General features: G+C 43.6%; 1 protein-coding gene across 33 annotated transcripts in view; it reads right to left on the bottom strand.

Annotated features, from left to right (window-relative positions):
- Nucleotides 1-23,281, bottom strand: part of TENM2 (teneurin transmembrane protein 2) — a 1,285,129-nt gene that overhangs the window by 56,442 nt on the left and 1,205,406 nt on the right. For all 33 annotated transcript variants that reach the window (XM_047417418.1, NM_001395460.1, XM_017009661.2 and 30 more), the window contains 6 exons: nt 17,169-17,379; nt 12,421-12,540; nt 8,602-8,863; nt 7,585-7,852; nt 3,884-4,027; nt 3,095-3,344 (listed from right to left, as the gene is read on the bottom strand). In XM_047417418.1, the coding sequence (XP_047273374.1) occupies nt 3,095-3,344; nt 3,884-4,027; nt 7,585-7,852; nt 8,602-8,863; nt 12,421-12,540; nt 17,169-17,379 (1,255 nt within the window). The remainder of the gene's footprint in view (nt 1-3,094; nt 3,345-3,883; nt 4,028-7,584; nt 7,853-8,601; nt 8,864-12,420; nt 12,541-17,168; nt 17,380-23,281) is intronic.

Here is a 23,281-nt window from a genome sequence, read left to right as displayed (position 1 = left end):
ATGGAATCATTCAGCTGCCAACTTACAATGGAGAAAAGACATAAGCAAGACAGGTCTCTTCCTCCCCCTCCCTCCCTCTGCTGGTTGCTGTTTTGAAGAGAGGGGATTGACAGCCCTTTGTTTTCAGGTATGTAGTGGGAAGAAAAGAAGAATAAAACCAGTGTTCTTATAAAAGCTTAACTTCTAATCGGCTCTGGGTACCTGGCTGATGAAAGTAAGAACAAGTCTAAAGGCAGTTAGAAAAAAGAATCACACGGCTGTCGAGGGAAACTGGGAGCCACATTCCGCCTCAAGCTGTCCTAATGTCACCACGTGGGCATGGCGTGACTTGTTCTGATTGGGCCCTTAGCTTGCACCATTGACGTTGTGGCCTCCACAACTCGAGAGACGTGGAACCAGGGACCAACTCCAACAAGAGGGAGGAGACGGGTCTGTGTTTTCTTTAATTTAAGCAACCTATCTTGAGCACCTAGTGTGGGCCAGGACCTCCTCTAGTACTTAAAAGGACAAAGATGACCAAGGGGTCTGCTGCAGAAGTTCACATGCTTAGGCCCTAAAGACTTACATGGAGATAATGACAACAAGGCATTCAGTGGCATCAACTCTAATGGAGGATCAGAGGGTGTAGTGACTCAGAGGTGGGTGACAATGGTTTCTGCTGGGGAGATCAGGCTACGTGGAAGAGGGGGCCCTGACACTGGGCCTTGCAGGTGGATGTGATGTGGTAGATTAGGTAGAGAAGGTATTTTAAGCAGAGCAAGCAGCAAGAGTGAAGGTTTGGAGGTGAGACTGTACCAGGTGAGGGCTGATTAGCCTCTGAGCAGGAAGAACAGTGACAAAGGAGGAAGGGCCTGATGTGGAAGATTACAAGGGCCAGATGAAATATTTCCACCCTTTTTTCCTATAGGCAATGGCAAAGCACAGTGCTACCTCCACCCTACCCTGTCTTCTCCCATGGTTCTCTGTTGCCCACAGGGTGCCTGAGAAAAGGAGGCTTTCCTAGGATTAAAAAAAGCAAACAAAAACAACATCTTGGGAAGGGAATCTATATGGATGGGCAAGTCTAGGAAAAGCGATTTGTCTGATCGCCAGTTTGGCAGCGTGAGGGCTACCTGGCCTCTTCCCACGTGTGTCCTTCTTGCTCTCATTGTTCACCCTCTGGTTACCATGCCCCCTCCTCCACCCCAGGCCTGTCTCTGGATCTCCATAATGGTTGGCCTTTGGCCCTTCAGCTCAGCTTGAACTGCACTGACTTCCCCAGGTGCCACCTCTCATGCTCACATGGGTGTTTTCTGAGCCTGTGTTTCATCCCCTTCTGTACCGCAGAGCCCAGTACATGCCTGGCTCGCCTCCATGCTCAATAAATGCCCACTGGATCACTGAGGCTGCAGCCTCCTCAGGGTGAAGCTCTTGTTTTTTCCTCTTTTTACTCCTCTCAGTCCCTGGCACACTCTTGGCTCCCAAGAATGCTCAGCAGCAGTTGCTGGGGGCAGGCCACTGATATTTCTCCCAGACAGGGCCTCAGAGACTCTCAAATGCAAGTGCAACCTGCAGTTCCTTCTAGGAGAGAGGCTGAGGCTGCTTCAGAAGATGCCATCATCCACTCAGTTGTCAGGCCAAAATCCTAGGCAGGGCCCTTGATTCGTTTCTGTCTTTGTTCGTTCCTTATACCTGATCCATCAGCAAATCCTATCAGATTTACCTCGAAAATATATTCTAATTGGAGCACTCCTCTTTCTTCTGCTACCATTCTGGTTCAAATCACCATTGCCCCAATCCTGGACAATCGCTGCAGCTTCCCTATGGGTTTTCCTGCCTCCACTCCTGCAGTCCTACAATCTACTCCATACACAATAGCCAGAGTCATCTTTAAAAAAATGCAAATCAGATCATATCAATTCCACCCCACTCCCTACTTCAACCTCCATTGCTTGTTCATTGCAATACAATGTACTCTTGTCTAAGTGGTTAGTGAGACTCTGATGCATTGAGGTACCCTTCCCTGAGCTCACCACCCTCCTGCCACATTGGGCTTCTATCAGTCCTTAAATCAGCCAGGTTATTGGCTGGTATAGGGCTTTTGAACAACTTCTCTTTGCCTGAGTGCTTTTCCCCAGATCTCCCCATGGCTGACGTCTATCACTCAGATCCTAGCCAAACGTGACCTAGTACAAGAGGTTTCTCCAACTAATTCACCTTACGTAGCCTCCTCATCCATGTACCCTCCCTGTCGCCCAGTTCCTGTTTCTTACTCTGTTATATTTCCCCTAAAGCAATTAAGGATACAGGAAATTATTATTTTTTATTTGCCCACATGATTTTGTCTGTGGCTCCTTACCAGAACACAAACACAAACACAACAACAGGTGCTTTGTTTGACCCCACTTTTTTTTTTTTTCTAGCCAGAAAGCTCCTGGGACATGGTATACATTCACCAAATATTTGTTGAATGAAATTTTGCCCCTTTCTTATAGATCTTATTTCTCTCTTTGATTACAGATCTCCTCTGAGTTGAGGGTCTGAAATCAACTTTCCTGGCAAGAGCATGTCTAAGAGCTTTTAGGGGTCAGTTTTTTCCCAGCACAGAGGGGTCTGGCTTTCAGACTTAGTAGCCAGCAATGGGCAGGAGGAATCTACCTAGGCTGGCCAGAAATTACACAGCAAAGCCTATGCAGTAAAGGAAGTGCTATCCTAGTGAATGTGCAAAGATCCAGAGACTTTATAGAGAGCTAGCCAGATAGAGGTGCTCAATACAACATTTTGAATTAGCAAATGAACATTAGTGGTTCTCAAACTTTGATGTGTGTCTACAGAGCTTCTTAAAAATAAAAGATGCTTTGGTTGTTCTCCAGTCTGGAGACTAAAAGCCTTGTCTGTAAGTCAGTTGTTGACTATTGTATCAAATCTGTGTATGGTTTTTCACAGATACACAAAGCATTTTTCCCACCTCCTTATTTGATTCTGGGCCTAGGTTTTGGATCACAAGGACTATATCTTCTCTGGAGAATCCCAAATGCAGCCCCAGTTACCCGATCAAACTCAGGAGTTATGGGGGGCAAGAGAGCAAAAGAAGGTTGCCTGTGAGGCCATTTACCGTAACTCCAAGATGCTGGTCACATTTCGAGAGGGAAAGATGCGTCGGATGTAATTGAAGTCACCCACATAGAGGCTCCCATCGATTCCAACAGCCAGAGCCACTGGGGCCAGCAGCTTGTTGCCTTCAGCAAGGCCGTTGCAGCTGGGACAGGAAATGCTCCGGCGGCGACCATTGCCCATGATGCTGGTGATGATGGCAGGCTGCTGGGTCAGGAACTGGTTTTCCCCAGTGCCTTTGTGTAGGATTCCTGTGGGGGTTGGAGAATGGGAGGGGTTACTGAAGCCCTCTGGGGAAGACATGTGTATTGGCCAACTGGGAGGGAGGGGAAGAGACAAATTAGGAATCTTCAGTGCTCGGGGAGCTCTCCAACTTCTTCACAATGTGGAGAGAGCTGCAGTGGGAGAGGTGGACCCCAAATGCTGTGGCATTGGGTAAAATGACACTTGGGAGGATAACCAAAGAAGCTTGTAATCCCAGCTTCCTGGTAGGCTGGGGCAGGAGGATCATTTGAGCCCGGGAAGTCGAGGTTGCAGTGAGCTATGATGGCACATACACTCTGGATGACAGAGCAAGACCCTGTCTCTATTAAAAAAATAATAAATATTTTAAATATTTAAATAAAAAAATAATAAAAGAAGAAGGTAGGAAAATCCATGCATATTTTGGGCACTTGATGAAAAAATGACCCAGGGAAGGGGAGGTGTGATCACTTAAATGCTGAGGCTAGAGACAAGGTTCCAGAGAAGTGGCAAGGCTGTATTTGGGAAAGAAGATGTGTTCACGTACCACTTTTAACATTGAGGATGTGGTGTTTGTCTAGGGACCAGCCACCGAGGTTGGAGGGGTCCAGCTCGAATCCCTGAAGGAGGGCTGTCCTTTTCTCCCAGAGAATTAGACTGGGACAGGTCTCATATTCAAACCCGACAGACACTGAAAGATAAAAGGGGTGGGGCAGAGTGAGAGAAAAGAGAGAGTTTACTTGATTACTCCAGAGCTCTGTAGCAAGAATGAGAAGCACGTGTTCGCAGTAATACAGATTCTGTTCCAAAAACTCACTCAAAGAGGCAGGCTGATTGCTTTTCTCCTTGTGATGCTACAATATTAAATTCAGATTTTTGAGCTGAACTCAACCTTGAAACTTTACACAGTAGTACTCTGTGGGAATGGAAAGACCTTTCCAATGAACGACTGGCTTTCAAAAATGACCCTGGTGACATGGAGGGAGGAAAGGAATCATTTGAAAACCTGACACAATTCCCCTTTAGAGATGGACAGGAGACTGCTTCTCTCAGCCTGCTGTTCACAGCATGCATTTATTATATTTTGTGTTATTTATTTCCACTTACTAGGAGAAAGCCCTTTGGGATCGTACTGGCTCATTGACATGGAGATTCTGGGAGCAATAGCTTGTGTAAATTAAGACACTTGGTGTGTTCACTCAGGATTCCAGAAAGTGCCAGGAGAGGCAGGCACCAGCAGGAGTACAGCCTGCCAGTTACATGGGGATTCAATGGGGAACAGAATCCAAAAGCTGTTTTTAAAAATCCTGCATTTGCCACATGGACAAATGGGAGAGAGAGGTGGAAATGAAGGACATTAGTCCTAGCTTGGCTCCAAGCTCACGCTTCCTTGGGGCTCCATTTTCCCCACGTGTAAAATGGGTTAAGTGAAGCCTCAATTTCTCAGACAGATGTGGTAAGGAGAGATGAGATGAAGTGCTGAGATGCCATACATTTTTAATTGGAATGCTGCTCTAGAAATATGAGGCATTGCTATTATTGCTGTTCCTACTGCATTAAACTCTTAACTATGTGTGTCACCTTTGGGGATTCTCTGCAGCTTTAAAAAATTCCTGAGATATAGAAGTGTCAATATGAATGGAGGATGCATTTTTATCTTTAAAAAACTCTATGTATTTCCTAGCTTGTCCTCTGAAAATGCCAAGAAACAAAGGCCAAATGACCAGCCCCAGCAGCAAAGAGAATTGCTAGTGCCTGGCTTGTGGCCTTGATATATTATTTCTCATTAAAAGGAATCAGGGCTTCTGGAAGAAATGGCTGGAGCAAGAAATGAACACAATGACACCAGCCTACTTTATCATACTAGATAGCAAGGAAGGAATCAAAATCTATTAGGGTCATGTCAAAAGGATTTGGGAATGAGCTTGAAAAGGTGCCCACTGACCAAAGATGGGGCCATTTGGCCATTAGTGAGAATAATAACTTCAATGGATTGAAACATACTGGATGCATTTCAGTCCATGAGTTCATAATGGTATTTAAGAAACATTAATTTGCCACCCCTGGACAATGAATCAACTCATTATATTGAAAACTAGTAAATAAAGGGAAATAATCAAGCATTTATCTATTCTTTCCTATTTGAACTGTACTTTAAATAACCAAGTAGTTAAGGAGAAAGCATCTCTATATAGAAGTATTTCAGCTAATAGATGAGGAAGGAAGTACAGAATTAAACTATCATTTTGCAATCCCTAATGGCCAGACAGACTAGGCAATGAGCATCAATGGCTACTGAAATCTCTAAAAAATACACAACTTGACTTTAGGTGCCTCTTGATGGAAGGACACAGCCACACCTATCAAGTTGTTCTGCCAAAACAAAAAATCAAAAAATCAAACCTGAACCTGAGAAAGCTTCAAAACCCAACTATCAATGGTCAGGAGATATAGGGAACAGAGGAACAGGCCAAATAGCCGTAATTATGCAATTCGAGAACCAACCAATTAATCAACCAACCAACCAACCACGCTATATGGGAAATTGTACAACCCAATTTCTTCAACAAATAAATTATAAAGGTTAGAGAGAGAGAGAAAGATAAGGAAAGATGAAAGAACTTTAAAAACAGTTTAAAAGAAATCAACCAATTGCAAAAGGTGGATCTTAATGGGATCCTGAGACAAAGTATTGATAGTTTATGGTATTTGTCAGGCAATTGAAATACTGAACAATGATGGGCTATGTGATGACATTAGGGAATTATTGTGTTTTTTTGTTGTGATGATATTGTTTTTATGTTTTTAGAGATACATTCTTAAATATTACAGGTGAAATGATGTGACGTCTAGGGCTTGCTTCAGAAAAATACAGGAGAAAGGGGAGTAGACGGGGGTATGGAAAAACAGGCCTCATCATGAGTTGATAATGGCAGGAGCTGGAGTGTATGGAAGTGAATTACAATATTTAGTCTACTTTTTAATATTGGCTGTCATTTTGGTATTAGCTACAGATATATGTATATGTATATATATGTGCATATATACATATATATATCTGTATATATGTATGTGTGTATATATATATACACACACACACAAATATACATATATTTGATTAGCCAGTGTTGTATATTAAATACACTAGTTACTCTGGGAACTTCTTACTACCTTGGTTAAGTTAACACCACTCACTGATGGAGCAGACCCCCAGGGCTGTATTCTGAGCAGGTGTGACCTGTTAGTGGCATGATCTTGGGCAACTTTCTTACCCTCTCCCTCCTGCCCCATATGCACAATGGGGTTATGAGGGTGCCTACTTGAGGGGTTATTGAGAGGTTACCCAACAAAAGATTTAACACAATTCTCTCTACACAAAAGGAACGTCTGATACACATTGGCTACCAATTATAGTGAAAATTTCTGAGGTTGCTAGTTTCCTACTTTGGTAACTTATCTTTACAGTTTTTAAAATACACACGACTATTGGTGAAGAGAACACAGGATTCTGGATTTTAATTAATTCCTAGATAGCTTTCCACAAGTAGGAAGATACAAGGTAGGTTAAGATTAATCTACAGCTCACAACTCTGATAACGGTAGGACACTTCTGTTACGAAGATCTTTCATAAGGAGGGAATCGTGATTCCTTCAAAAGGCAAAGCCCTGGAACATAGCATGTGACTTTCTGATCTCCTCAAACCCTGTTTTCTGATTATTCAGGGTCATTCTGTGCCATTTACAAGTGCTCCGTCTGGAAAATGAACTAGCCCCTGACCACCTCTCTCCCAACATCTTGAATATTTTCTTTTCCACTACACTCCAGCTACACTGGCCTTCTCTCTGTCTGTCAAACACACCCTGCTCTTCTCTCTGCCTGAAATCCTCTTCTTCTGATTTTCATGTGGTTCCTTCTTGTCATTAGTCTCTGCTTAAATGCTGCCCTGCAGAGGAGCCTTCCCTAAATGCTCACCACAGTTGTCCCTCCTCCCCAATATATATCATTTACTTTTATTTTCTTATTAGCACCTATCTTGCTTGATATTTCTTTGTTTCACTTGTATTTATTATCTCAATACCTCACCAAAATGTAAACCCCGTGGAAGAGGAATCTTGTCTGTCTTCTTGGCCATCGTGTCCTTATCTACTGAAATGGTGCTTGGCATATCCTCGGAACTCAATAAATATGGGTCGAATTAACACATGACTAAATCCATTGATCAATAAGTGGTTGAAACCAAAACATACCAACAGCATCTGAGAGTCCATACACCCTTTGGCCATACGCATCTGTCTTGTCCCAGATGAAGGTGTAGGCCAGGTTGGGAGAAGCCTGGAATGACTTCTGGAAGAGATGCCCCTCGACAGCCACCATCAGGTGAACCCTAATGAGGTTCAGGGGCACTGTGGACTGGGTCATGGTGATCTTCAGCAGTGACTTGTACCCTGCAGTTCTAGAGCTCAGATAGCGAAGTTTCACATTGGAACCAGGGAGCTCGATTTCTTCATGAAGAACCTGGAGAGGAAACACATGGCAGACACACACCTAAAACACACCTGTGCAGGTAAACTGTAACCCCGATACTGTCTGTCTGCTATGTCCCTCACTGAGGCATCACATCTTATGTGGGTGCAAGAACCACTTACCACCACTGAGAAAGAAAAACAACAACAACAAAAACTTTATCTTCCACCATAGAGTGATGGGGCTGAGGTTATGATTTTTGGATTAATAATTATTCTTGGTCACTGTTGTGTTTCTTTTTAAAAAGCCACACTGTTGGCAAAAGATGTAAATAAGAACAGCAGGCTTTATTGCTAGCTGCATGCAAGGAGGCCACGAGAGGCTGTAATTATACGAACCTACAACTTCCACTGACAATCCGTATAAAGCAACAGGGAGGCAATAATGTAATATGCCCTCTGTCGTAACACCGATGTAGATCATTAAAGCGCCTCTTACCATGTATCTCTGTGACTAACAGGAACAAAAAGCAATTTGCAGGTGGGTTGCACATATGTATGTTGTTTTTATTTTATTAAAAGCTCTGATGACTGCCAAAGTCTTGAACGACTATCTGCAGACATCCAGAACAGCCAAGAGGGATTCAAACTTTCATCTCTGGTGGCTATAAATTTTATTATGCTCCCACTTTTTTTACTCCCCTACAATATTAGTTTCTGGTCCACTCGGGGAGAGGCAGTGTCCAGTTGGTTTTCGTTAGGGAAGTCCTGAGAGTCCCGCCCTGGCACTGCCATTCCTACCTGGGTCTCAGGCACGATGGGATTCTGCCCAGGGGCAGCACTAAAGAAGGTGGACAGTGGGGAGGAGATGATGATTGGATCAGGCCGGACAAAGCCACTGAGGTCACAGCTGGGGATGGAGTTCTCCTCGGTCTTCATCACCAGGGTGTCCATGGCGTAAAAGCTGTTCCACGGCAGCCACACAGTGCGCTCCTGGCTCATGAACGGGGCTCGCTCAAAGTGTAGAGTCAAGGAAGCACCTCCATTTGCGATCAGGTCGAACCTGGAGAGGGAGTAAATGAGCTGATGAGGGGGTAGACTCACTTTTAGACAAGGCAGGATGCCTCTCCTCCTCCCCTGATGGCCATGCGATGGGCAGAGCACAGAGGAGACCATGGGCTTTGGAGGCAGACAGGTGGGGCTGGAACCCAAACTCTATCACTTACTAGCTGAGTGGCAATGGGCAAGTTACTAACCCTCTCTCAGCCCAAGTTTCTTCATCTGTAAAATGGGAATAATTACACCAATACACATGGCATGACTAAGAGTGAAACATCATGAGTGTAGAGCAGAGCTCAACAAACTATGACCTATGAGCTAAATCCGGCCCACCACCTGTTTTGGTAAATAAATTTTATTGGGCAGGGCATGGTGGCTTACGCCTGTAATCCCAGCACTTTGTGAGGCTGAGGTGAGTGCATCACTTGAGGTCAGTAGTTCAAGACCAGCCTGGCCAATATGGTGAAACCCTGTCTCTGCTAAAAATATAAAAATTAGCCAGGCATGGTGGTGGGTGCCTGTAGTCTCAGCTACTCAGGAGGCCAAGGCAGGAGAATTGCTTGAACCTGGGAGGTGGAGGTTGCAGTGGGCCGAGATTGCGCCACTGTACTCCAGCCTGGGTGATAGAGTGAGACTCTGTCTCAAAAAAAAAAAAAAAAAAAAAAAAAGGGTTCATTGGCATACAGTTACACCCATTTGTTTATGTATCTTTTAGGCTGCTTCCCTGCTATAATGGCAGAGCTGAGTTGTTGGTGAGAAGCCACATGGCCAGCAAAGCCTAAACTGTTTACTCTCTGGCCCTTTATAGAAAATGTTTGCTGGCCACTCGTGTAAAGCACTTAGCACAGTCCTAGGCTAATAGAATGTTCAATAAATAGTGTAATTATAACGATACTACGTTAGGACACAGAGAGGAGCTCATTACAGCATTCTTCTAATCAGCCTCTGCTCTGTGGCTGATTTCTTTGCCAATGGTTCTTAAGCTATATTTCTGTTCGTTTCTTAAGAGCTGGATGGAGGTGTATTACCTGTAAAGTAGAATAAAGGTAGCTCTTTCCCAATTAACAGAAAACAAGGACGTTAACAGAGAGGTGTCCTAATGTTAAGCTTTATTTTACCTCCCCTCTAGAATTTCATCTTTTTTTTTTTTTTTTTTTGGGATGGAGTCTCGCTCTGGGGCCCAGGCTGGAGCGCAGTGGCATGATTTGGGCTTATTGCAACCTCCACCTCCTGGGTTCAAGTGATTCTCCTGCCTTAGCCTCCCAAGTAGCTGGAATTACAGGCGCCTGCCACGATGCCTGGCTAACTTTTTGTATTTTTAGTAGAGATGGGGTTTCACCCTGTTAACCAGGATGGTCTCCATCTCCTGACTTCGTGATCCGCCTGCCTCTGCCTCCCAAGGTGCTGGGATTACAGATGTGAGCCACTGCACCTGGCCTTAGAATTTCATCTCTTTGAGGGCAGTGGTGCTGTCTGTCTTGCTCCCTTCAGAATCCCCAGCAGCTAAGAGTACTTGGATCACAGTAAAAACTCGGTAAAAATATACTTGACTCGCTGGTTTCATCCAATCTTAGTAACACATTTGGTCTTTTTTAGTAAATGTGAATGAACAGGGAGCATAGGAATATTAAGACAAATATCAGAGCATGTACAGTACAATAGTTTACTTATTAATTACTTTATTTATGTGCTTATTTATCGGGCATGCACACTGCTGGGGATAGTTCTGCATAGAGTACAGAAGAGAGTCAAATGTCTTGAAGTAAAATTGTTCCTAGTTGGCACGGTAGAATCAACATGAATATTTGGGGCACACGCCACTATGCAACAGATTGTGGGATTCCTCAGAGCATTCTCAAGCACGTCCTGTGACTTCCACAGCTTTACAACCTGAACAAGCTGAAGAGTAACTGATCCAGGAGGTTGGATAGATGATCTGGGAAGTGGACTTGGGGCATAATTACTCAGGAAGCAGTGGAGAGGGATGCAGAAGAAAGGGAAAATAGCACATCAGGGACTCAGAAATGTCTCCTTCTGTTGTTTCATGGGACTTCACAGCAATTGACTCAAGGATGTCAGTTCTTCAAGAACACTGGCCTGGGGGCGGTGGCTCACGCCTGTAATCCCAGAACTTTGGGAGGCCAAGGTGGATGGATCACTTGAGGTTAGGAGTTCGAGACCAGCCTGGCCAACATGGTGAAACCCCGTCTCTACTAAAAATACAAAAATTAGCTGGGCGTGGTGGCGGGTGCCTGTAATCCCAGCTACTCGGGAGGCTGAGGCAGGAGAATCACTTGAACTCAGGAGGCGGAGGTTGCAGTGAGCCGAGATTGCGCCATTGCACTCCAGCCTGGGCAAGAAGAGTGAGACTCCGTCTCAAAAACAAACAAACAAACAAAAAAACCCCACCGGCTTCTAAGAACGAACAAGGGCCAGAGTAATTTTGCAAGGCACACATCTGCCATCCTGTGCTTTAAAATAATTAGATTTGGCTACAGAAATGTATGAGTGAGATATCAGAAATTTCATGAATATTGAAGATTTGATATGAATCCTTAGACTCCTTGTTTGGGTTTCAGAGGTGGGAGAGTGAAGTTAGGGCTCCTGGGGGCTGGTAATTGTTGAAACTGCCTATAAGGCTACCTTAGGGCAAGAAAGAAAATAAGGCCAGACTCTTCGCCAGAGAAAGGTAAAAAATCCCTGTTCTTACTTCTGTGATACATCCAAGATTTTCCAGAGTGCATTTTACAGAAAGAGTGTTGGATCAGATTGGTAGCCACAGTTCCCTTTTCATTTAAAACAGAATGCCATAATTGTGTGTGTGTCTGTGTGTTTTTTAGCCCAGAGTAAGTTAGTGTTTTCTCCCTCCCATAGATTTCTTTTCTTCTTCTTTAAATTTCTACTCTATGCCCAAATGGATTAAGGAAATGACAGAGCTTTCATCTTGATGGAGGCTGAACGGGTACACGTTTCCAATCAGAAGATAATAGGGAAAGGTTGCCTCCTTCACACAGCAGGGTGACTGCTAAATGTATTTAATTAGACTTCTCTGATTACACGCCACCCCCTCCAAACAGTAGCGAAAACAACACAACTCCTAAAGCCACAGATGAAAGCAGAAGGGGATCACCACAGGACACTATGTCATGTGGATTCCTGTCACCCTGCACTGCCTTTGATTTAAAACAGGAGTTCGTTTCTAAGAGCTACCTTCCCTTCTTTTTCTAGAACCTGCCCCCACCCCAACACACACACACACACACACACACACACACACACACACACACACACACACACACACACACGTGCATTGACCTGACATTAAAAAAACGAGGTGGCTGTGAGCTGTACTAGGTAAGCTGGCTTTCCTATTTATTTTCTGTTTTTGATGTCACATCAAAAAGCATGAAATGTCTTTGGGGGAATCCTCACTAGGGGACAGGCCTGGTGGACATTCCAGTCCACCAGGGGGAATCCTGTGGTTCCAAGCCAACAGCACCGTCTGTCCCTTTGCACACACGTGTGGTCCTGAGTAGGTCCGAGCCCCACAAAGCTACTCACGTGCCATCCTGGCGGGTGATGGTGTAGCCGTATTTTGGGTACTTGACAAAAGACACGTTCACACCGACCAGGGGAGTTCCATCTGTAGTTACTACTTGGCCTCGGATGAGAGAAACCAAGCTGAGAAAGACAGAAACAGAGGTCTTTGAGCCACATGCAGGAGAACAGAGACAATTCCCCACTGCCTCTGCTCCCTCATCCTCATCTGGTCCCTCAGGCAAGGAGAAGGCTTTCAACATTAACTTCTGGCTTTGCACAATCACGCTAGTGACATTTTGGGGTGAAATCCATGGGCAGCATCTCCCGTCACTGAGCTGGGCCCAGGGGTCTCCTGGGCACCCGCCTTCCACTCTTGGCCTTGCTCCATTTCTTGACATTGTTTGGCTTTTGTTTGGCCTGAGCTTCAGGCTGTCCCTCATCATTCCCAGGTGCTCTTTAGCCTGGCACCGAGAGTGCCATACTCGGGTGAGAGCTTCCACATCTGGCTACTTATTTCCATTTTTTGGCTTTGGAGGATGGCCATGTTACTCTTCTAGAGGCCAGAATGTCAGAGTGGGTAGAGGGGAGCACAGAGAGTTTTATGGCTGGGAAATACACATGCATTGTCTTTTGCTGCCCTCTAAGAGCAAAATTTCTCATAATCCATGAGGGTCTGAGGAAACGAGAACTTTGGAGATATATATAGCAAAACCCTTCAATATACACATTCAATAAAAATGTGTATATATCTATATACACTTTTTTTCTGCTAGAAATATATTGGATTCTGGATTCTGTGTTACTACATATTTCTCTTATGTCGAATTCCTGCTATCTTGAAGGGTTTTGAAATCCTACCAATTTATTTCCAGTGTTACAGAACATCTCCCTCTTTCCAGACACAGTAACTAGAACTTTCCCACAAATCCCGGTTTCCAACCAGCTACCCCTGGGAAAGTCCTATAAAGCCAGAGAGATGCTACAATATTGTGCTCAAAGTCCATGGAGGGAGAATGTGCATGCCTCCTCTCATCTGAATTCTCTTGACTTCACAGAGAAATGGGACAATGAGAAGCTCCATTTCTGCACCAAGCCCCCAGCAGACTGGGCAATTTGGCAAAAGAAGAGAGGTTCTCAGGCTCCCAGCATCCTGGACACACTCCCAGTTTCTGAACTAGGTGATCAACTGACCCGTCCTTTGTCACAATCTTGTCAAAGTCGGCTCGATTTTTGGATGCACTTACTTTTGCATTCCTGGGTGTCCTGAAAACCGGAGGGATGCTGTCTCCACGCATCTCTCTTTTTATTAGCAATACCCCCAGCTGTTCAACTCCAACCCTTTGATGATCTCAGGAGTGTTTAGACTGTTCCACTGACAGCTCTAATTGTCTGCTACTGGCTGCCTAACAAATGAATGCCATTTTTAGCTGGTTTTAACCACAATGCTAGACTCTTTTAAAGTGGAAAACTAATTTATGAAAATAATCCTTTTGTTCAATTCCATTTTCTTATCTTAGCTCGGACTAAGATTTCTTTAAGACCTTACCAGACACTACTTTAAAATCAGTGATGTGTGTTGACGACCACAAGGTACACAGTGCTCGTGATGAGAAAACAAAATTGAAAGTACATTCCACAATGGAGTCCCCCCACCCTTCCTTTTTCTACAACTGCTATTTCTTTTAAATCATTCCTGTAGCAGAAGGCTTTGCAGTGTGCCATAGGAATAACAGGAGTAGTGCTGCCTGTGATTTCTATCCTCTATTTTTCAAATTCTTCCTTGCTGCTGGCTTCCTATCGTTTCCAGGCAGTCAATTTGCAGAAAAGATTCAGCTAAGACATACTATCAGTTCATTTCTATTTATGATTATTGATGTGTAACAATTATCGCATTATCTAGATAGTGAGATCTGCTCTATAAATTATAGTGGTGGAGTCAAGGCATTTTAGTTATTTTTGTATGCCATTATCTAGGGGAACGCCCTTTTAGAAATCTTGAATTTTCGAGTTCTTTTTTACTCCTAGCTTTGTCCTTCGTTATTTGTAAGATGATAATGTACTGGAATTCACACGCTTACTGAACTTCAACCTATGTCTTGGAGTTACATTTCATATTTCTGAATTATGTATCCATGCAGACAGCCGGAGAGCCTGGGCTCATTTGGGAAGTGCCATTTATTGTTTACATTTAAAGCTTCCGAGACGCTTTCTCTAAAGCAACTTTCTTTCAGGTCTCCTGGGCTGGCATAGTCTACCAAATATTCTGGGGTTCCTGACTGTTCACCTGTATTTTGGCTCTAGCTCAAGGTGCCTTCTGGAAGTGGTAACCATTGATGAGGAGAATAAGATAAAACCAGAAGGGCCAGGTGGAGAAAGCATGAAAGGGAGAATATCAGGAAATGACTGGATTTAGGGTAGAAATAATGATAGGTTAATGAGGAAGCAGATTGAAACAGGCCTTCAGAGGATGCATTTTCAGTATAAGCAAACTACAAACCCCACTGAAATGCTTATGGCCCAGTGCAAGCTCTGCCCAGTCACGGGTCTCTAGCAAGATGAATTATGTTCATAATTAAAAGGAAGCATACTTACAGAATCTGTTCTAGAGCTAGGATTTAACAAGCAGAGTAAATGCTTTTTATTTATCAGAGATCTGTGGTTTCTTTTATTTTCTTGAGAGGTTCTTCTACTAAAAGAAACAGTAATAATACTGTGTATAGTATATGTTAAAGTCAAATAAAATAGAAAGATTAATCTCTAAATTTAAAATGTTTTATTTGGGAAGCAAGAATGGCAATTCAGGGCATATGCATGGGGGTAGTCTTCAGGATGTCTGAAGATCAAAGAGAAGTTTGGAGGTTTTATAAGGAGAAATGTTACTTATTCTTTTGAGAGAAAGTTCACTGGGACTGGTAAAGTTTTGGCGATCTGGTGAGTTCTGACTGGTGAATGATGGTGGTGGGTAAAACTAGTCTTAGAGTCATAGTAGGTTGTTTCAGTCGCTATTAGATCAACTGGTTTCCGGTTACAACAGACAGTTTCAGTAGCCAGGCCTGGGGAGAATTACATTTCTAGGGCAATGTTATGTGCCCAGAGTGCTTTTTCTTCCTGGCTTCTTGCCTCTGCTTTAGTTGGGTATGACAAGAATGACCCAATTTGTCTGATCAACTTTTACGTATTTAAATAGTGTTATCCTAATTTTATTAATCAAGAAAATGAGGTTTACGAGCCCAACATGATATCGCTAGGAGGTATCAGGGCTGAAATAGAAGAGGGCTGAGATTATTTTTACCTTTCTATTATTTCTTTTTCTATTTTATTTTTAGTAAAAACGACAACAGAGAGAAGCAAAAGTTGTTGGCCTAAGGTGACCTTGTTAAGACACTCATATTCAAAAGAGCTGCAGGAATTGGGGCTCTCCAACTTTCCAGAGAGCTCTAAGAGGCTGTAGAATCAGCTGTGCTGACACCCATTCCTTCCCCATCCCACCCTCGCTGGGCTGTCTCGGTTGGGGACCGATGAAAGGCTCATGAGAGGGGCTCCGAGAGAATCACTTATAAAGTTAGGTGCTTCTGTAAGAAGGGAAGTCTAGTATTTCTTCCCTGCTTGGAAGCCGAGAGAAGTAGCATACATCCAGAGTTGCTCCTGGGCCTACCTGAATGAGGCTAAAGAGAAATAAGACAAAGATGGCACAATGGGGGTCGTCAGGGCTGCAAAGGGGCCAGGACCATCCTACCCAAGTTCCTAGTATCTAGAAGTTTTGTGAAAAAGGACCTGACCAGCAGTTTTTATTTCTTGATGTGAAGGACCACAGAGATGGGGCGGGGCATCCCCAATTAGACCACGCTCCTCCTTCTTGCATCAGCATACACCATCGACATCTGGACTTGGACCAACTGAGAGGAAGATCAAGCATGGCCAAGCCATAAGAAGACCCCCAGCCTCTCCTACCCCTCCTCTCTACCCTCAGAATCATACGTAGTGCATAGAAAAGAGGAGGGGATGGGGTGGTGGGGAAGTGTCTCCAAGACAAACCTTCCCCTTGCTCTCTTCTCCAGGAGCACAGTTCTAACTTGTCCTGGGGTGAAGTTGAAGACAAAATGAATCTAGAACTTGACCCTAGAATATTCTAAGCCTCAAATTAGCAACTAAGAGCAATAATAAACTGGAGAGAATGAGGGGTGAAATGCAGTGGCACAATGGCTTGCATGCAATAGGTAATCAGGAGAGGCAATAGATGGGATTGTTGTGTGGATTAGAGATAATCTACACAAAGTCTCTGGCTCATCCTAGGTGCTCAATAAATCCTTGCAACCAACATCTTCTTGACTCTAAGATGCCACCAAATGATAGGTTATGTTATCAAGTTAATAACAGCTTTCAAAAACACTCTATTGAATGAACTATTTCAGCAATGCTCGAACAAAAGCCACTATCAGAGGCATTTTAAAGGGAGATTTAATATAATGACAATAACATCATAAAATAACAGATTTTAAAAATGATCTAAAAACCAGGGAATCAACAGGTGTCTCCAGCAGGTTCTGGGTTAAAGATGTTGACATCCTGCAAAGACACTAGGGCTCTGTTCTGGAGCCCAACACAAAGTGAGGAAAGGGCACTTCTCTGAGTCCCCCTTGGAGGGAGCTGCCTCTAGGGGGGCAGATTCCAGGCCAATTGGGTCCCCGGGAAAGCTGGAGAACTGCCTCTGGCTCCAACAGGAAGAAAATCAGAGACTTCAGGAGTTTGCAGGGACAGAGGGTGCCTACCTGCTGTTGAAAGGGTTCTCTCCAGGAATGATGTGGGTGCTATCCTTGCCTGCCAAGAGCTTGATACGGTCATAGAAGGACTTCACTGCGGGCCAATCCGTCTGGCCCTGCTGAATGATGTCCAGTGGGTCCCGGGACCCCCGGCAGAGCAGGCTGTTCTGACAGGCTGACTGCAGGCAGCAGTCAGGGTCCAAACAATCCACCAGGCCATCTGGAAGGGCAGAGGCAGAGCCAGAGTCAGCAGATTTCATGGCATAAAGCTGTTTGGAGACACTAACACCTTTGTTACCAGCACAGGCATGAGCAGCATCAAACGTACCCAAGGGCCTGAGGTGGCAGGTTTCACACAGCAAGCCTCATCCAATTCCAATCCATACACATAGAAAATAAAAGACTGAAAGGAAATAATTTAAAATGTTGACAAATGGTTATCCTCATGTAGCAGATTAGTGTGTTTCTCTTCTTTATTGTGCTTTTCTGGAATTTCTACTTTTTTCTACTATGAACACGTATTATTTGAGTGGGAAAATAAAAACAAAAACTTCGCTTTTAAACAACACAGCACAGCAAATTACCCACGGTCAGTTCCCAGGGGTCCGTGCTAATGGGTGCACAAGTAATCAAAATGCATGGAATTTCTGGCTGGGCATGGTGGCTCACACCTGTAATCCTAGCACTTTGGGAGGCTGAAGCAGAAGGATCACTTGAGCCCAGGAATTCGAGACCAACCTGGGCAACATAGTGAGACCCTGTCTCTATTAGAAATACAATTTTTTTATCAAATTAAAAAAAACTAAAATGCATGGAATCCCTTAAATCTCACTTTAACGGAGAAAAGTATTCTATCCCACTCTCTCTAAGCCAGGAAGGGAACTGCTGACCAATTGGAAACCTGGGTGCTGAGAGTATTACATTTTCTAGGAAATGTGGAGAAATGGCTTTGGCTTGGGAATCTGGAAATTAAGCCTGCAGTTTCCGCAGTAGTTTCTGGTTCTGTCTTCCTGCACGCCCTCAGGACTCGGAACATTATTATGCACTTGCCTAGAGTCCTGTGCCTCTATCCCTTTACCTGGGCTGATTCCTATTTACTCAACTACCATTCAACAAATATTTGAGTGGTCTCCATGTGCTGGAAATGAGAGAGAGCAAAGAACCATGGAGACTGTCTTTAAGGAGCTAATGGTAGAGTGGGGGAAACTGACAGGACTGACTCATCCTTTAAGATCAAGTTTAGGTTGGCCTCTTCTTCCAGGAAGCCTTCTGGATGATGCCCCTGGCCAGGTTATTGCTACAAACTGAATGTCTGTGATCCTTCGAAGTTCAATGTTGAAAACTTAACTCCCAATGTGATGGTATTAGGAATGGGGCTTTTGGGAGGTAATTAAGTCATGAAGGTGGAACTCCTATAAATGGATGAGTGTCCTTATAAATGAGACCCCAGAGAGCACTTCAGTACTCTTTCTGCCATGTGTGGACACAGCAAGAAGACTGCAGTCTATCAATCAAGAATCAGGGCCTCACCAGACACTGAATCTGCTGGTGCCTTGATCTTGGACTTCCCAGCCTCCAGGACTGCGAGAAATAAATGTTTGTTGTTTAAGCCCCCTAGTCTATGGTATTTTTGTTGTAGCAGCCCAAACTGACCAAGACAGTTAGGAATCCCTGTTCTGTACATCCCTGAATCAGAGGTTCTCAAAGAAGCATTCTGCATCAGAATCCTGCAGGAAGAATAAACGGCCCACCCCACATCTCCCCAGGGAGAGCCTCCAGGAGCAGGCCCTGGAATCTGCATTTTAAACATGATTCTCAGGTGATTCTAACACACAATACGATTTAAAAACCATTGTTAATGCCAACTTTCTTATAGTAGAATTAATGACCTCTTAATGCTCGCCTCCCTATCTGGAAAATGAGCTCTTTGAAGAGAAAAATGATGTCTTATTAATTTTATATTCATTCCTCTCTTAGTACCAAGCACAGAATCGGGCACTCAACAGATGTTTGTTGAATGAATAAAATGACTGTTTCCCATTCCTCACCTGTCTGTGAGGGCTGAAGATGGGAATGTTTAGGGCAGTGTTTGCTCCTTGGAATTTCTGATAAGAACGAATTCGTTAGTCAATCCTTATTCACTCGGCTGGGAGCGGATTGAATACACAGTGGAGAAGCTTGGAGAATAACTTGCTTGCACCTCCTGGATTTGATAGCAAGGCATTTTTTTGGACCATAATTAGAACCATGGAAACACGCACTCAAACCCTGGGCTGTGCCTTGACAAACACTTGTACTGGAACGCTGAATCAGAGGCCTGGCTGGGTGCTTTAAATTTACTACAGTGTAATTTTTTGGCATTACCCTTTTCGTTTGGTTCCGCTAATGAAAATGAAATATGTAATTTCACCAAAGTTCCACTGTAATTTAGCAATTAATGTGCAATTATTTTAATGCATTACTTTCTTTTTAGCAAACAAACAAATTAGGAGGTTGCATGTTTTGCCTGGCTTTAAATTACTAAAACTAGCCTCTCATTTTCCACATGGGCAAATGTTGCTCATGTGCCTCGTAACACATTTAGATTTACACAATTTCCTAGAAATGCAGACACAGGAGGGTGAGCAGGCATGCACACTTTAGATTGAGAGACTTTCAAAATCAAGGCTCTGAACATCTCGGGCTGATATGCTGGCTGAATCGGATACTCCCCAGTTCCCCGGAGCCTGGCAAACCTCAGACCCTAGAAACAGCACTGGAGATTGTATCTTAGTAGCAGGATGATATCCAGGCATTGTTTCAGATCCACATTCAGGCTGTCCAATCTGGAGGACCATTGGCAGCATAAGAAAAAGAAGAAAAAAAGTGCATAGAATTCTGCCTTGAACATCACTGTCCACGGGCTGCCTTCAAAAGACAGAAGGGCTCTACCACGGAATGCCTGTTTCAGATTTAAAAAATAACCTGCTGAGATATGCTGGCAGGGCTTCCTTCAGCAGCCACAAGAAGCTTCTCAGGTGAGAAGAAACCCACTGCTGTTAGCACTATAGATTTCTTTAAGGTCACAGGCCTCTTCCAATTAGGGGTATCATCCATCTCTGGTGGCCTTTCCCTCCTGAAGCTGGGGAAATATTTCCTCCCCCTCCAACCCATTTACCACCCGCTCCATATAACCGCCTTGAAGACCTCTTTGGGCTTGAAGAATAACTTAAGACAGTTTTCCTATTGAGTGCTGAACATTTGCCTCCCCCTCCCCCTCCAGCCTGTCACTCTTTCCGGGCTTGTGACTGCTTCAGAATTGTGAACTTCAAATTTCCCCACTGTTTTGTTGATCCTGGGCTTTTGATTCAAGGGCCTGTCTGGCAGGAGATGGCCTAAGCACATCAGCAATAGCAGATGACAAATGCCAAAACAGAAAGAAAATAGGATACAAATGATTTCCTCCTACATATTTACATTTACCTGCTCCAGAGATTGTGCATTTGGGGTTCTACCCGTTATTAAGTAGGAGCCTACGTTATGCCTATAATGACCTCATCATGCTGCGTGATTATGGGCTGCAGCCGCCAAACACTTTCAGACGACACTGTGAACTTTAAATTGGCACTCCAATCTCCCAGTGGCCTGTCAGTCATGAGAATCGCGTCTTTATGCCAGCAAGCCCCTTGGATGGAGTCTGACATTGCAATCTTCAGTAAATTACCCTGTCACTGACAATCTTGCAGTTATCTCGCAAACAATCAAGCAGGCAATCAAACTGTTCTGAATTGCCAGTTCAGGACCTGAGAGGTGGCCGATGTCTCCATTCAACAGCAGAGGGAAAGCGGCCTGGCCCTCCTATGACAATGGACGATTTCTTTATTTATTTATCTACCTACTTATTTGTTAGTCTGGTTGGCTTTTTCCTGGGGAAGGGGGTGAGGATGGTAGGAGAGGTTTGCAGAGTCCTCAAAAAGGGCCCAATACTGACTCAGCGGTTATGGGAAAGCGACTTAGGCCTTCTGAATCAGCCCACACTGCGGTGGCTCATGTCTGCTTAATCTTACTTCACTCAGTGAAACGGGGCCAAAAAGAATTATCTAGGTGTTTTCTGTCAGAACGGACGCTAAATCACAGCTCTGGTTCTAGTCTACTCATACACGTCATAAGCTAATTGTAATGACAATTTCAGAGAAATGTGATCATGGAGAAACTTTCTGGGAATGATACCAAGGCATTCTATTTATTGCTTTTGATAAAGCAAATCAGAGAGATTCTTCCATAACAGTTCTGGCAACGTGAAACAGGTTCATTAATGCTGAATTGAAACCTTTGGATTAGAAGTCCCAAGGTAAAAAGCCAAAAATTCTACACAGCATCAGAGGTGACAGCCTGGCCTCTGGAATCAGATGGATTTGGGTTTGAAGCTCGTCTCTGCTAGTTCCCTGGCTGTGTGAGCTTGGAAAGGTAATCAGCCTTGCTGGGTTGTAGTTTCCTTGCATTAAAAACTGAGTTATAATTGTACATATGCCATAGGGTTATGTGATGAAGAATAAATAAATTTATATATATATATATAAATTCAAATATATATATATATATATAAATTCAAATATATATATATATATATATATATATATATATATATATATATATATATATGTCAGTCTGGTATATAGTATATGTCCAATGAACTATAACTATAACCAGAAACTCCCTGAAGTCTTCCACTTTTTCATTTTAAAAAAAAAGATGCAAAAGTAAATGAAATTAATATTCCCTTATATTTAGAGTCATCCACTGGTGTAGGCTATGGGCTGGTTGAATCTTGGCAAAAATACTTAATTTCCAAACAGTGATAGGTTAATAATAATAATTAATAGGAATAACAAATGCTATAGATTGAGCAGAATTTACATTTTTTTTTTTAATTTAAAGATTCATGGAAATCCTGCAAAGCAGAATAATGTAACTCTTAAATGTCAGATTATAGAACAGGGTATCTGGGTTTGAATCTCAGATTGACTATTACCTAGCTGTTGACCATGGGCAATTAACTGCTCTGTGCTTCAGTTTCCCTCATGTATAAAATGGAGATGATGATGATGTTGATGATGATGATGATCACGATGGTAGATAGTGCTGCTGGGAGGGTTAAAGCAGTTATTGTCTGTACAGTACTCAGAGCAGTGTCGTATAATGAATGCTCAGTACATTATCTTAGCTCCATTATCACCATGCCACCCACTCTATACCCACCTATAGAGGATGCAACTGAGGCTTGGAGAAGGTGGATATCCAAGTGGCTAAGAAGCAGCTATGAATAAAAAGTAGAGAAAGGCAGCCGATGAGATTATCACCTTTTGTCTTCATTATTAGGAGGGGTGACGCTTCCTTCCCCAAGGAAGTCTGAAGACAAGGCAGTGGACACCCATCAACAGGGGTAAGTGTGGGCAGCTGTGAGATTTAATCACTTCTGAAGGCCTGTCTACTCCTATAGCTGGGAAAGAATGTGGCTGGTTGAAATGAGCATCTGAAGAGGAATCAGCAGGAGAAACCAGATGCCTGGGAATTTATTCCTGGCATTGTAGGCTGCAGAGGACCACACTATTTACCTGTGAGACACAATCCCCTTTCAGCTGTTTACCATTGGCACAAGGTGGCACTTACTTTTGTGCTGGCTATAGGTTTTTGTCAGCCGTTTCAATCCCCTGTCTAGTGTACTCTGCTAGATTTTAAAAGGAGCTCCTAACTAGTAAAGAGATTTAAGCTCAAAGCCTCCATTAAACGCTTACTAGTAAAGCTACACTCAGGAGGAAGGAGGCCCTGTGTCGATGGAGAGGCTGTAAAGCAGCCACAATAAGCATCTGGATCCTTTGGAGTTGGCTGAACCATGCACACCTTTCTGCCTGGAGGAGGCTGTGTGAATTCTTGCATCATCATTCTCATAGGAAATGGCTCAGGGAATGAGAAGATGTTGATTTCACTTATTTTCTTCTTTGATCTTCTGGGCAGCTTATAGAGAATTTGAATGGAAGCATTTTGTTCAACTTTTCTCCCTGTAGCTTGGTTTGCAAGTGAGTCTCTCTCCAATGTGCATGAACTCCATGGCTTTCCTAGGTATTAAAGGCTCCAGAAGAACA

Source organism: Homo sapiens, chromosome 5 (assembly GCF_000001405.40).
Source record: "Homo sapiens chromosome 5, GRCh38.p14 Primary Assembly".
Classification (NCBI taxonomy): domain Eukaryota; kingdom Metazoa; phylum Chordata; class Mammalia; order Primates; family Hominidae; genus Homo; species Homo sapiens.
Note: the sequence above shows the minus strand (reverse complement) of the source record. Positions and strands in the feature narration are given on the sequence as shown.